At 37.1% G+C, this 16,052-nt stretch overlaps 1 protein-coding gene across 11 annotated transcripts in view; it reads left to right on the top strand.

The window, feature by feature from the left end:
* Nucleotides 1-16,052, top strand: part of CAB39L (calcium binding protein 39 like) — a 135,415-nt gene that overhangs the window by 25,651 nt on the left and 93,712 nt on the right. For 3 of the 11 annotated variants that reach the window (XM_047430694.1, XM_047430699.1, XM_047430693.1), the window contains exon 4: nucleotides 5,374-5,502. The exons of 6 other annotated variants lie outside the window; for them this stretch is intronic. The gene's annotated coding sequence lies outside the window, so the exon portion shown is untranslated. Of the gene's footprint in view, nucleotides 1-4,662; nucleotides 4,691-5,373; nucleotides 5,503-16,052 lie in introns of those variants that run through there. 2 more of the 11 variants (NM_001287339.2, NM_001287338.2) reach the window with 1 other exon arrangement.

Here is a 16,052-nt window from a genome sequence, read left to right as displayed (position 1 = left end):
CTGTAACCCTTAGCAGTCACTTCCCCTTTCCTCTCAACCCTCCTAACTCTAGACAACTATGAACCTATTTTATGTCTCTGGATTTGCCTATTCTGGACATTTTATATGAATGGAATCATACAATATGTGACCTTTTGAGACTGGCTTCTTAGCATAGTGTTTTCACCCATATTGTATTATGTATCAGGACTTCATTCCTTTTTTTGCCAAATAATGTTCCATTTTATGAATGTACCACATTTATCCATTCAGCAGTTAATGGACATTTTTTTTTCTACTTTTGGGGTATTATGGATAATGCTGCTTTGAACATTCATGTATAAGTTTTTGTATGGGTGTATGTTTTCATTTCTCTTGGATATAAACCTAGGAGTGGGATTGCTGGGTCATACGGTGGCTGTGTTTAATTTCTGAGGAACTATTGACCTGCTTCTAAAGCAGCTGCTCCATTTTACATTTTTACCAGCAATGTTTGAGAGTTCCAGTTTCTCTACATTTTTGCCAGTGCTTAGTATGTCTTTTTCATTATAGCCATCCCTAGTGGGTATTCTCACTTTCTGAATATTTAGCATAATGACTTGCAGGGTTTTTTTTAACTCAGATTTTAATTTCTGGATTGAAAACATGGGATAAGAATTCTGCCTGTAAGCACTGCTGAAAACTTCTTGGGGAAAACATAAGAGGCTATTACAGTTTTATTTCAGTCTTCCCCTGATAGAATATCCCCATCCTCTTAAGCTCCCAAAGGTGTATTTTATTGTTATTTTCTCTTTCCTTTCCCTGAAGGTTTTTGCTTCCGTTATTTGCTTCTGTTATTTGCTTCTGCCAGGTGCCTGAGTCCAATTTAGATAATATTTTTAATATCGTTAACATATTATTCTATTGTTTATTTACATTACAGGACATGTTGGCTTCACTGTAGAAGGAAAATGTAATTTCTATCTGGTACAGTAGTGTTAAATAGTTAAGTTGGGTATGTTAGTCATATTTGCGGGAATTAGTTGGGGTTTTTGGATGGCCTGGCAATGCATGATTGTTTTCCTCATTTAAAATAGGCAGACTGCAAGTAGGCAGATGATACAAATAGGAGTAAAGGAAGTGTTCTGAAATTGAATTGCAGCGTTGATTACACAACTCTCCTCAATCCCCTAAAATCATTGGCTGGTATACTCAAATAATGAAATTTTGTGGTATGTAAATGATATCTCAATAAGGCTATTTTAAAAATTGGAATATAAAGTGCCCACTATCTCAAAATTAACTATTCAACACTAATCAGGAATGGATTACTATCCAACCATTATCTTAATCAGGAGTGGATTGGGTTCAGATAAGAGCCAGTGAGATTTTAGATGCCAACATAAACTGTGAGATCTAATTCAAATATCTATTTAGGCATCAAAGAGAAACACCAAATTACTATAGACTAACATTTGCTTGGTTCTATGTAGAAGATTTTGAGATTATCAGTTTTCTTTTTCTGCTTCTAACAAGAGCATCAGGATACGTAGGACCTCTTGACCTTCTCTTACATCTTACCTAATTCTCAGTGTGTGTTTTTCCTCCTCAGTAGGCACATTAATAATAATAATCTTAGCTAATATTTATACAGTGCTCACTGTGTACCAGGCACTATTCTGAGTACTTTATACATTAATTCATTTAATCCTTATAATAATCCTATGACATAGGTATGTTATTTCCATTTTACATATGAGGAAATAGGGGCCCAGAGAGGTTAAGTAATTTGTCCAGGCACCTTGTAAGTTGCAGAGGCAGTACGTGAAGTCAGGTAGGAGGCTCCAGAGCCAGTTTTCTTCATGACTAGATACTCCGTTACATAGTGCCTACAGGTCCAGGGGAAGAAAGCACTGTCTCCTTGTCAGCATTGTTCAAACTGTGGCTTTCCACTCACTAGTAGGTCATAAAATCAGTTTGCTGAGCTGTAATCCACAGTTTAAAAATATTAAATTGAATAGCATAGACAATATCAGACTGCATCAGATGTGGTAAGAGCAGTTGTTTTGTGAAACTTTTGCTTTACTTGCACACATGTTAGCTTGTTACTGGGGTTTTTGTGTTAGCCGTATTTTTTGTTGTGGGTCAGGGGCAAGGTTTGAAAGCACATTCTGTAGAAGGGCAATAGTTCTTCTATTTGGAATCATAGGCCACTGGCTCTACTTTTTCTAAAGCCAGTAACAGAGTGACATGTTCTGTCCTCACTACAACCCAGTTTAGTTGCACCTCCCCATCCATGAACAGTGAGACAGTTGGGGTAAAAGCAAGACTTTCCAGAAGATGTGGTTCAGCATAAATGCTCTTTGCTTGTTAGGAAAGTCAGTAGTAAAGTTGAACATGTCAGAGTAAGCCTGAGTGAGCTTCTTTCTGAGAGAAAGCATTATTTGCTTTGTAGGACAAAAAACACAATGAAAACCAAAAAACTCCAGTTCTGTCTTTATGAGCTTCCCCACTCATCATCTAAAAGTCAGCACTTCCTCTCTGTTTTTCCTTATGATTAGAGACAAAAGGCATAGTAGAAAACAGGAAAGTAATTTATAATTTTTAAAAAATTAGTTGGAGATTTATTAACAAATATTTGTTGAGTGCCTACCGTGTACAAAGCATTATTTTAGGTGCTGAGGATGAAGCAGTGAGCAAAACACACCAACATCCTGCCCTCACAAAGCTCACATTCTAGTGTCACTAAAGTTGTTCTGTATGAGGTCCAAATCAGCACCCTTCCTGTGCCCTTAAAACTTTACTCAACATGGGGTTATAATGGAAACTCAGAAGTCTATAGGCTTCACCAGTACCATAGTGTAGAGTGTATAGATCATAAATATATCAGAGCCCACATTTTTAATTTTATTTTAATTTAATTTTTTTTTTTTCCAAGACAGAGTCTTGCTCTGTCACCCAGACTGGAGTGCAGTGGCACGATCTTGGCTCACTGCAGCCTCTGCCTCCCAGATTCAAGTGATTCTCCTGCCTCAGCCTCCTGAGTAGCTGGGATTACAGGTGTGTACCACCACACCCCGCTAATTTTTGTATTTTTTTTTTTAGTAGAGAAGGGGTTTCACCATATTGGCCAGGCTGGTCTTGAACTCTTGACCTCATGATCCACCCACCTCAGCTTCCCAAAGTGCTGGGATTACAGGTGTGAGCCACCGCGCCTGGCCACATTTTTTATTTTTTATTTTTATTTTTAAAATTTCTAGAGACAGGGTCTCACTGTGTTGCCCAGACTGGAGTGCAGTGGCATGATCTTGGCTAACTGCAGCCTCGACTTCCCAGGCTTCAGTGATTCTCCCACCTCAGCGTCCCAAGTAGCTAGGACCACAGGCACGCACCACCACACCCAGCTAACTTTTTGTATTTTTAGTAGAGATGGGATTTCACCATGTTGGCCAGGCTGGTCTCGAACGCCTGACCTCAAGTGATCCACCTCCACCTCGGCCTCCCAAAGTGCTGGGATTAAAGGCATGAGCCACCGTGCCCAGCAAGCCTACATTTTTTTTTAATGCCTACTTAATGGCGAAACAAAGCTGCTCCTTTTTTAAAACAAATTTTCCACTTATAAATGCTATTGTAGAAAATTTGATTGTTACAGAAAATTATAAAGAAGAAAAAAGTAATCTGTAGTCTTACTACCCAGAGAAAATTACTGTTAAAATTTTGTTGTATTTCCTTCTAGTCTTTTATCTATATAAAATTATGCATGTCTCTGTACACACACACATAGTTGTATATATATAATATTTATGATTTTAAAATGAATTTGAAGTATTAGTCCTATTTCTTGATTTTTATTTAACATATTTTATTATGTGACTATATATGGCACTTAAAATATTTTTATATGTCTATAATATTCTAAGATGGTAGCATAACATAATTTATTCAACTGTTTCCCTTTTGTAGATACTCTTGGCTTTCCTTTGTAAATAACATTGCAATAACATCATTTACCATCTAGCCATCTCTATTTTCTCAGGATAGCTTTTTGTTAGTAGAATTGATATGTTAAAAAGCATGAATATTCTGGTAAATTGTTTTCTAGAAAGGTTCCTGGGGATTTTGTTCTACTCAGCAGTATACAAGATTCTGTCTCACTACATTCTTCTAGTTCTTATTTAATTTTAAGAACTGTTGCTGCCTCTATTTCTTGAAAAGAATGATTCATTTTTTATAACATTATGCTTCTTTTTACTAAGGCAAATCTTTCATCTGCAGTTTTGACTCTATCCCAATGGAGAAATTGTTAATCTTTTAGTAAGCATTAAGAATTGTATAGAAAATGCAGAATTTGTTTGGAAGAAAAGCATGGATAATTCATTTGTGATGAATGTTGACTCCACAAAGGGTTTGTTCAAGTATTTGGAGACGGTTGTTAAATTGCCTTTTAAGGAGGTATGTCCTTGCCGTTGGAAGAGTCTCTGTTTTGTTGCAGTTTAGGATGAGTTAGGAATACATATTTGGAACTAGAAGAGATAGAGTTTAAATTTTCTGTTTAAAAAAGGGAAGAAAAACTTGAAAGGCACAGGGAAAATCCAGCAGGAAAGGAATAGGAACTCTGGAGAAATGCTATGTCGTGTATTGTGACACTTCACTGTGACCTCACATATAAAAACTTACAAAAGCCAGGAAATACTTGGTGTATCTGGATTTCTTGTAGAAGCCAGTTAAAAGGGTGAGTATTGGTTGAAATGGGACCAAAACGTGTTGGGCCAAGTGTACAGGGAATAGCTTTTTACCTCTCTCCAGGCTTCTTCCTTTGACAACAAATATATGTGCCCTCCCTGTCCACCACTCCACCTCAAAAACTTCCCTATGTATTTCCCTTTTAACCACAATTTTCTTTTCTCCCATTTCCCTACCTCTCTTTCCGTCCCTTTTCTACTTTCATTCCAGTCTTTGCATTTTTGCTAAAAAATTTTCCTATGCTGGGATATTGTTCCTTTTTCTATCTCACTATATCCAAATCCTAGTACTTTTTCAAAGTGCATCTAAATTCCCATTTCTTAGGTATTTGCTAACAAATCCTCAGGAAATATGTTGTTTTAGAAGAATTTATAAAGTCTATGATTTTTGTACAATTAAAAAAGTCCCATTTCTTTCACTTACTCCTTTTCTTTCCTCACTTAGGTAATCTCTATATTTTACCTTATGATAAAATACGGTAAAATATACCTTGGTCCCTTGCATATTTCTTCTTCCTTTTGTATTTTCTTCAAAACTTTGTATTCAGGTGTAATGATTTTATATAGATAGCTAAGGTTTTTTGTTTTGTTTTGTTTTGTTTTGTTTTCACAAAAGTTGTACAAGCTCCTTGAAGACAGATCTTTTATCACAGACCTCTTTTGAATTCCTTAGAGAACCTAGTATCACACTAGGCTTCTGAAAACACCAATCAAGAGTTGCTTAATGCAGGGGTCCCTTACCCCTGGGCTGCAGACCTGTACCTGTCCATGGCCTGTTAGGAACCGGGCAGCACAGTAGGAGGTGAGTGGCTGGCTGGCAAGCATTACCATCTGAATTCCGCCTCCTGTTAGATCAGTGGCAGAATTAGAGTCTCATAGACAGCACAAACCCTTCTGTGAACTGTGCATGTGAGGGATCTAGGTTGCAGGCTCCTTATGAGACTCTAATGCCTGATGACCTGAGATGCAACAGTTTCATCCCGAAACCATCCCCTGCATCCCAACCTCCAGGTCCGTGGAAGAATGGCTTTCCACAAAACCATCCTCTGGTGCGAAAAAGGTTGGGGACTGCTGGCTTAACGTAATTGAGTAATAGTGGAGAATTAGTGAGATTTAGCCCTCAAACACATTGGGTATCCAATGCATATCCAAAGGCCATAATGTGCAGTTAATTTGAAAATGAGTTGCATGTGTAAATTTTCAGAATTATTGATAACATTGTATTGAAAACAATGACAGATTTTGCATGTTTATCAACTGTGAGAAACCAAAATATTTAAAATGAAAAAAATGCTTATTATTAGGTTGGTGCAAAAGTAATTGTGGTTTTTGCCATTTTTTTTTTTTTAAATGGCAAAGGTAAATTTTATTTATCTGTATTATTAGAATAATACAAATAATCACTTTATGGCTTTTTTTCCAAGGAGAATTAACATTGTGTTTTTAAATTCTGATTTGTTTATGTTATCAGTGACTAATTTTAAAATAGATTATAAGATAGCAAAACAAAAACAAAAAACAACACCCTCACCTACCTGTATGTCTATATATAGAGAAGTGGTTAAACAAACTGTAGTACAGCAATATTAAGGAACACCAATTTGTGCTGAACCCCTATCAACTCCAGTGGGGATGGCACCAGGTTCTAGAGGCCAAGGAGACCCAGAGCCAGCAAAGGAGACAGAGGGTTTTGGGGGGAGTTTACATACAGGGAAGAGAGTCCAGTGGCAGTGGGCTAGGCAAGAGAACCAACTGCTTGCAACAGTCATGCAGTTTACATAGCATTTTCACTTAATGCCTTCTCCCTAACAACCTCCACCTGGTAACCTTCATTTAACCCAAAACAAAGGACCTCGATCCCTTCTATGCCCTGTGTTCCATGAGCCAGGCTGGGGGCTCGAATGTTCCTCATAGATAAGGAATGGGTCTCCAGCTTATCCCAGATTCCTTAGCTCAAAACTGTGAACCACATTCAGGGTCATCCTCGGGATATACTTAAGTCGAGTTTTCAGTGCCAAGTGCATCTACTGTGCAACCATGCAACACTTTTAAAAGAATGAGATAGAGCTACCAAATGTAGAGAAATCCAAGATCTACTATAAAGAAATAAAATAAATTATAATGCAGTGTGTATAGTATTATCTCATTTAAAAAATTATCTTGGTGTGTATTCAAACAAATACATACATCTACGTATGCCTGGAAAAAGGGTCTGGAAGGATAGCACTTTGAATAGTGCTTAATCTTGGGGAGGGGAATTAGAGAAGAGGGAGGTGGGGGATTTTCTTTTTTTTTTTTTTTTTCTCAGGAGAGTCTCTCTCTGTTGCCCAGGCTGGAGTGCAGTGACGTTATCTCGGCTCACTGCAACCTCCGCCTCCAAGGCTCAAGAGATTCTCCTACCTCAGCCTCCTAAGTAGCTGGGATTACAGGCACACACCGCCATGCCCAGCTGATATTTTGTATTTTTGATAGAGACGAGGTCTCACTATGTTGCCCAGGCTGGTCTCAAACTCCTGGACTCAAGCAATCCACCAGCCTCAGCCTCCCAAAGTGCTGGGATTACAGACACAAGTCACCACACCGGGCTGGGATTTTAAAACAATAGAGAAGCATAGAAAATAAAAAATACTTTTTTAATGGACATTTAATTTAAAATTAAAAGATAAAAAGACATGTTTAGAATGAGTACAGCTAGAACAGTGCACTGGTTTGTATTTTATTTGTAAAACAAGATGCCATTCTGTGGTTATAGTTATTAAAACTAATTGTTCTGTGATTAATAGTTATTAAAGGATTATAATCATTTCTCCTATACTAGATCATGTTTTATAAGTCTTCAGATTTGTGGTAAAATATGTTTTATAAATGGAACCCACTATAATTACTGGATGAATTCCATAGAGATTTTTCCATTCAGTAAATTACCTGAATATGTTATATTGCAAATGCTATGTGTTTGTTTGCCATAAATGGCTTTGACTTTGAAAATTGTCATGTGAAGTACTTTCATTATTAAAAAGCATTATAACTCTGTAGAAAGAGATACTTTGAGACTAGTTTCTCTTGACATTTTAAACCAAGTTATTTATAACTCAAGGTTTTCTGTCCCTTCACTCAGCCTGCTTCTTTCTTTGTCCTTTCTTTCTGTGTTCTCTTTAGATCCTGTTTTTCTTCTTGGCTTCAGAGCACCAGCTTACAAGTTGTACTTTTAAAGATTTATAACAGTAATAATATGATTCTCCAACATAAAATTTTTGTATAGTTCTGGTTTCAATAATTTGTAGAAAAGTGAAAATTTGTAAAAACTTGGAAAATTGGAGTATGACACACCTCATAAAAAGAGAATGTACATCAGTTCTCAACAGGGTGGGAATTGTTCTTTTACTAAAAGGTATCTTATGTTCTTAACTGACTTGAGCAAGAACTTTTCATAAGCGTACCAGTTGTGGAGAAAACAGAACATGGATCCAGCAAAGAAGGACAGGGAAATATGAGAATTATTAGTATCACCATCTGCCTGTGGTTATGGCACTAAGCCCATTTTGTTGTTATGATACTAGCTGTATATCGAATCTTGGGGCTCCAAGATCTGTTTCTTAACCTCATCCTTTGTTATTCCTTAAATTGGGCAGTTGGTGGAAAAGCATAGCATGTACTTAGCGTTGTTATATTGTTTAGATATAAGTGGAATTGTGTGGATATAAGCGGAACTTTAACTGTTAAACTTAGGATTTGGTGTACATGAGTCACACCTTTTAGCTTTTCTTCTTACTGTATTTATGTGGATTTTTTTTTTTTTTTTAAATAGAGAGAGGGTCTCCCTATGTTGCCCAGGCTGGTCTTGAACTCCTGGACTCAAGGGATCCTCCTACTTCCTGCCAGACTGCTTAGGATTACAGGCATGAGCCACTGTGCCCAGCCACATGTGGGTTTTCTGATAAGACCAATTTTCACTCTGCTCAAACACATATTCTTTTACTCTACCTTTGTTCTCTTCAGATGATGGTGAGTCCTGCTTTTCTGAGAAAATTGAAGTAAACCTGTGCTTCCTAACTTCATTCCTCTTTCCCTGGGCAGTCTCTACTAATGCTTTCTCCTCCTTCTCATTTTAGAAAAATATATATTATTCCACTTATGTTCTTGATCCCTCCCATTGTGGGCTCAAAGATCATGCCCCATTAATTATCCCTTTCTCATCTTCTACCTTCCTCCTGTCTGTCCCACTCAATCTACCAAGAGTTGAAAGGTTTTTTTTTTTTTTTTAAAGCAAACAAAAACCTCTTTTATTAAGCCCTTCAAGCTGTCCTTCTAGTCTTTATATCCAACACTTGGAAACAGTAATATACGTTCATTTCTCTATTACCTCATTCCTAACCTCTTATAATCCTAATCCTATTGTTGTGTCAGGTACTACTAAGTCTCCAATCTCCCATACAGTGTTCTAGGCATGGCATGGCAGAGTTGGGTTATGCATGCTGCCTGAATCAGAGCCAGTGTTACCAGTTTCCCGGAAGGGCTGGCCTGGAGTCCTCTGCCTGCCTCATGCTTTGCTGTACTGCTGTATGCTCTGATGGTCCCTGCCTGTCTTTTGTCTCGCTGACTACCAGCCTATGTCTTTAGCAATTTAGGGAATATGAATTCTTAAAAGTCCCTTTCTCTGGGCCAAGTGGTTCTCTAAAGGCCCCTTTCCCACTAATACCTTTGCTTTGTAAGAATTGAAAGTGGGACTTAGAAATTAGACTACAGGGTTAGGTAGTAAGTACTTTTAAATGCTTCTTTTTCTTGAAGGTCTGGGTTTTTTTGGTCACACGATAACATACTTTTCAGTTTCTCCTCTCCCTCTCTAACCACTGTTTATTTAGTTGCCTTTTTTTGGGGGGGAGGGGACAGGGTCTCACTCTGTTGCCCAGGCTGGAGTGCGGTGGTGCAATCTCAGCTCACTGCAACCTCTGCCTCCAGGGCTCAAATGACCCTCCCAGCTCAACCCCTCGAGTAGCTGGGACCACAAGAGTGTACCACCACACCCAACTAATTTTTGTATGTATTTTTTTGGTAGAGATGGGGGTCTTGCCATGTTGTCCAGGCTGGTCTTGAACTTCTGGGCTTAAGTGATCTGCCTCCCAGAGTGCTGAGATTACAGGGGTGAGCCACTACGCCCAGCCAGTTGCCCTTTTTCTACCAACACCTGTAGATGTTTCTTGAAGTTTTGTCCTTGGCTCTCTTTTTGGTCTCTCTCGTACTGCAGTGGCAGGATGGATGACCCCCAGATATATTGCTCCAGTCTGTTTTCTCTCCAAGTTCTAGTTCTGTATGTTCAGCTGCCTGTGGGCATTTATATCCAGAAGCCTTGCTGGCATCTCGGACTTGTTATATATCAACTAACTGGCTATTTCATAAAATTTATTTTTCTTCCTGTGGTTCCTATATGTTTTAAAGGTATAACCTGCTTACTGTCACACAGGCATGGGAATGCCTTGTGATCTTGACTCGTCTCTCAATTACTATCCATATTTTTTCAGTTGCCAAACCTATTCTCTATTATACTCTTGTAGTCCTTTTATTCCCACTGTCTGGTTACCCTCACTGTCATCCTAGACTACTGAGTTACCTTTAATTTCATCACCTACTGTTTCTTTGCCCTTTGATTCTTCTGCCAAATTCACATTCATTACAGAAAGTTCTGATCATGGCCTGTTTTGTCCGCAAATTATTTAGCTCTTTTGTCTAGCACTCCGTCTCTCCATAATCTGACCGCAACCTGGATTTCTAGTTTTTTTATACTATTATCATTCACATAGCATTTGCTTCTGGCATACTAAATTTTTGTTTCTTCTATTTTTTTTTTTTTTTTTGAGACGGGGTCTTGCTATGTTGCTCAGGCTGGTCTTGAACTCCTGGGCTCAAGCAATCCACCTGCCTCAGCCTCCCATAAGGGCTGGGAATACAGACATGAGCCACTGGGCCTTGGCCTTAATACACTTTTTCTTACAACTGTTATATATTTAAATAAAAACAAATATGTTAATTAAATATAAATAACTGTAAAACCAATAAAGTAAAATTAATATTATTTAATTCAAAATATAGCACTAAATTGTGGAGGTGGCACTTAATCATATAATTATGTATTTGTGTATTGAGTATTTTACATGTTAGAGTCTTGATTTTTTTGGGGGGGGATCATGACAAACCAGGTTTTGTGCCATTGTTTTTATTGTTGACAATGAACTCTTTTTTAACCACTAATGTTTTAATTTAATGGACTAATCAATTCAATAATGTACCTTAAACATTCATTGGCTAGTTATAGGACTTATTGCTAGTGAATTGTTATAGTACGAGTATGCCAAGATGGATTCAAAGCCTTACAACACTCAATAATGTAAATATGACTGCTGAGGTGGAGGAGGTAACTTGGAATTCTGCATAGTTAAGCTACCAAAGCTACCACATTTAAGTGATAAATAATTTTCCTACCATTTTTTTGTATTCAAATAACTGTAGAATCATTGCATATTTAGCATGCCATGATGCCATTTGACTGTAACTTGATCTATATACATCATTTAATTTTTTCTTCCTGTGATTTTCTTAATAGTTGAGACAACTCCATTGAACTACACCATTTATAGGTTGTTAAAGTCTCTACTTAAAGAAATTGAAATCTTGTTTTATGAAATTTCTTTCAATTGTGAATAACAATGTAAAATAGTTTTGTTTTTATAACACGTAAAATAATTAAATTTTAACATTAGGACTCACTACTGACAGTTATATGCTGACCACTTCATTAGTTAACGGCAAAGAATTCTTTAAACTTCATTCAGTGATTTTATTTTTAGTAATTTTGGTACTGTTATTTTGAATCTATATTAGACATATTGAAAGAGTAGGCAAATATATCATTATGTTACTGTGTTATTAGAACAAAGATTTGTGGTATAAGTGAAGGTGAATATAAGAGCAAAGCAGTAGAGTTAAAATTCTGTAATGATAGATTAGAATTAAAAGCATCAAAACAAACTATTTTTTTGGAGTGACTTTTTTTTCAATTAAGGTGTTGTCTTTTTAATTTTCAAAATTTTAATTTTTAGGGTACATAGTAGGTGTATATATTTATAGGATACATGAGATATTTTGATATAGGCATGCAATGTGTAATAATCACCTCAGGGTAAATAGGGTATCCAATCATCTCAACTATTCGTCAATTTTTTGTGTTAAGAACATTCCAGGCTGGGTGCAGTGGCTCACACCTGTAATCCCAGTGCTTTGGGAGGCCGAGGTAGGCGGATCAAGAGGTCAGGAGATCGAGACCATCCTGGCTAACATGGTGAAACCCTGTCTCTACTAAAAATACAAAAAAAAAAAAAAAAAAAATAGCTGGGCATGGTGGCGGATGCCTGTAATCTCAGCTACTTGGGAAGCTGAGGCAGGAGAATGGCGTGAACCTGGGAGGCGGAGCTTGCAGTGAGCCAAGATCACGCCACTGCACTCCAGCCTGGGTGACAGAGCAAGACTCCATCTCAAAAAAAAAAAAAAAAGAGCATTCCAATTGTATTCCCTCAGTTATTCTAAAATGTACAACAAATTATTGCTAACTGTAGTCATCCTGTTGTGCTATCAAATACTAGATCTTATTCATTGTATTAAACTATATTTTTATACTCATCCCATTAGTGGATTAACTATCCCCTTTGCCCTGCTTCCTGCCACCATCATTCTCCTCTCTATCTCTGTGAGTTCAATTGTTTAAATTTTTAACTCCCACAAATGAATGAGAACATGTGAAGTTTGTCTTTCTGTGCCTGGCTTATTTCACTTAACATAATGTCCTCCAGTTCTATCCATGTTGTTTCAAATGACAGGATCTCATTCTTTTTTATAGCTGAATATTATTCCATTGAGTATATGTCCCTCCCTCCTCCCTCCCTCCCTCCCTCTGTCCCTCCGTCCCTCCCTCCCTTCCTTCCTTCCTTCCTTCCTTCCTTCCTCTCTCTCTTTCTTTCTTTCTTTCTTTCAGCAGGGTCTTGCTCTGTCACCCAGGCTGGAGTGCAGTGGTTCAATCATGTGCCAGCAATTCTGGCTAATTTTGATTTTTTGTAGAGATGAGGTCTTGCTATGTTATTCAGGCTGGTCTTGAACTTCTCTGCTCAAGCAATCCTCCTGTCTCAGCCTCCCAAAGTGCTGGGATTACAGATGTGAGCTACCGTGCCTGGCCCAGATGACCAGATGATTCTTATTGTACCTTAATGTCCTTTTCTTTCAGACTGAAGAACTCCCTTTAGCATTTCTTGTAGGACAGGTCTGGGTTGATGAAATCCCTCAGCTTTTGTTTGTCTGGGAATGTCTTTATTTCTCCTTCATGTTTGAAGGATATTTTCACTGGATATAATATTTCAGGATAAAAGGTTTTTTTCTTTCAGACCTTCAAATATGTCTTACTGCTCTTTCCTGGCCTGTGATGTTTCCACTGAGAAATCTGTTGCCAGATGTGTTGGGGCTCCTTTATATGTTATTCTTTTCTTTTCTCTTGCTGCTTTTAGGATCTTTCTTTATCCTTGACCTTTCATTGTTTGAGTATTAGATGTCCTGAGGTAGTTTTTTGGGGGTAAAATCTGCTTAGTGTTCTATAACCTTCTCATACTTGAATATTGATATCTTTCTCTACATTTGGGAAGTTCTCTGCTATCTCTTTGAATAAACTCTCTACCCCGATCTCTCTCTCTACCTCCTTTTTAAGGCCAATGACTCTTAGATTTGCCATTTTGAGGCTATTTTCTAGATCCTGTAGGCATGCTACATTATTTTTATTCTTTTTTCTTTTGACTGCTCTGTGTATTTCAGATAGTCTGTCTTCAAGCTCACTAATTCTTTCTGCTGCTTGATCAATTCTGCTTTTGAGAAACTCTGATGCATTTTTCAGTTTGTCAATTAAATTTTTCAGCTCCAGAATTTCTGCTTGATTCTTAATTATTTCAGTCTCTTTGTTATATTATCTGATAAGATTCTGAATTCCTTCTATGTATTATCCTGGATTTCTTTGAGCTTCCTCAAAACAGCTATTTTGAATTCTCTTAAAGGTCGCATATCTCTGTCATTCCAGAATTGGTCACTGGTTCCTTATTTAGTTGGTTTGGTGAGGTCATAATTTCCTGGATGGTCTTGATGCTTCTGGATGTTTGTCATTGTCTGGGCATTGAAGAGTTAGGTATTTATTCTAATCTTCACACTCCGAGCTTATTTGTACTTGTCTTTTTTTTTTTTTTCCAGACCTCTCAAGGATGAATGTATCTGTCCTTTTTGAGAAGGCTTTCCAGATATTCAAAGGGAATTGAGTGTTGTGATCTAAGTCTTTGGTCACTGCAGCCAAATTTGCATTAGGCGATATTCAAAGCCCAGTAATGTTGTGACTTGCAGACTTGAGGAGATACTGCCTTGGTGGTCTTGGGTAAGATCCAGGAGAATTCCCTGGATTACCAGACAGTCTCGTGTTCTCTTCCCTTACTGAGTCTTTCTCTGTCTCTCCTTGCTGAGCTGCCTACAGTTCGGGGAGGGATGGTGCAAGCCCTCTTGTGACCACCACTGCTAGGACTATACTGCGTCAATGCTGGGTCACACGTGAAGCCAGCACAGTACTGGGTTATGCCCAAGGCCTGTAACAACTATTTCTTGGCTACTGCTGATGTTTATTCAAGGTCCAAAGACTAAATATAGTATATATAGTATACATTAGGTTCTTTTAAGTTTCCCCATAGTTCAGGGATTCTCTGTTCATTTTTATTTTTTTAAACTTTTTTTCTCTCAATGCTTTATTTTGATAAGTTCTGTCACTGTGTCTCCAGGTTTACTAATCATTTCTTCTGCGGTGTGCAGTCTGCTATTCATCTCATTTGGTGTAATTTTCATTCCAGAGTTTATAGGGTTTTTTTGTTGTTGTTGCTGTTGTTTAAAGATCTTAGTTGGCCTTATTTGTGATTCTAGAGTTAGGCAACACTTCATTCCATGAAACAGAATAAATGTTTTCTCAGAAATTGTAATTTTAATTCTTAGAAATCTGATGTAGATCTTTTTTATATCTGCCATGTCTCTCCTTAACATTCTTATCTTTCTAATACCTTCTTGAACCTATGGAAGATATTTTTAATAGTTTTAATGTCTTTGTATACTAATTCTATTATTTGTGTCATTTCTGAGTCTTTTTCTAATGATCGATTTTCTCCTTATGCATTATGTTTTCCTGCTTCTTTGCATGCCTGGTGATTTTTGACTGGATGTCAGATATTGTGAATTTTACGTTATTGTGTGCTAGATTTTAAAAAATTTATATAAATATTTTAAAATTTTACTCTGGGTTGCAGTTATTTGGAAGTAATTCGATCCTTTCGGGGCTTACTTTTAATCTCTATTAAGAGGGACCAGAACAACCTTTAATCTAAAACTAATTTGGTTCCGCTACTGAGGCAATATCCTTCTGAATACTCAACCCAGTTTCCTGTATATTATGAGATTTCTGCACTCTTGCTGTTGGAAAATGGAATGGTATTTAATAGGAATTAAATATACAAACAATCATAAATAATCTTAGTAATTATATGTTTTAAAGTCCTTGACTTGACTTTGTGCCTTTGAATCCACTATAGATTGATATACAGTCTCCCAGTTTTAAATTAACCTTGCAGTTATCCTAAGAACCACTTTTATAAATTCTGAATTTCTTTAATTATACTACAACTCTCGGAGTATAACCTAAGGTACTAGACACTTCATACCCTCAGTGATTTAGAATTATTTCCATTTAACATCTCTTTAAAAAGGAGAAATAAAACTCTAAAAATTATAAAACTACTAATTGAAAGAAAAATTGGCAGACTAATCTCTAGTCGTCTTTGATACCTATTTAATAGGTGCTAAGAAATAACCAAATAACTGTATAATATAGTTAAATTTTAATTCTACTTTAAATAAACGAGATCAAAACACCTATATTTTAAGGCCGACTTTTACTGACTTATTTTTCTTAAGGGATATAAACAACTGTTTATAGATGTTTACCTTTCACCTTACTTAAGCTTATATTCTTAGAGAGATTTTAATTCTGCAGAGAATAAGAATGTGTTACTTAATAATAGGTCTAATAACTACTTCTGTTCCTTCTGTACTTGGAAGATCCGTCAGTAGAAGGGCCCAAGACTTTTGACTGGGGACATAGTGGGAGATGGAGAACCTAAAAGTGTTCTGGGCTAAGGAACTGGAACAGAACTCCAAAGCAGGATCTGACTAGCATTCATACAGAGCCAGCACGTATTCCAAGCTGCATACATTGCCTCCTAATTCCAAAGAATCCTACAA

Source organism: Homo sapiens, chromosome 13 (genome assembly GCF_000001405.40).
Source record: "Homo sapiens chromosome 13, GRCh38.p14 Primary Assembly".
Lineage (NCBI taxonomy): Eukaryota > Metazoa > Chordata > Mammalia > Primates > Hominidae > Homo > Homo sapiens.
The sequence above is the reverse complement of the archived record's forward strand: the minus strand, read 5'-3'. Positions and strand labels throughout refer to the sequence as shown.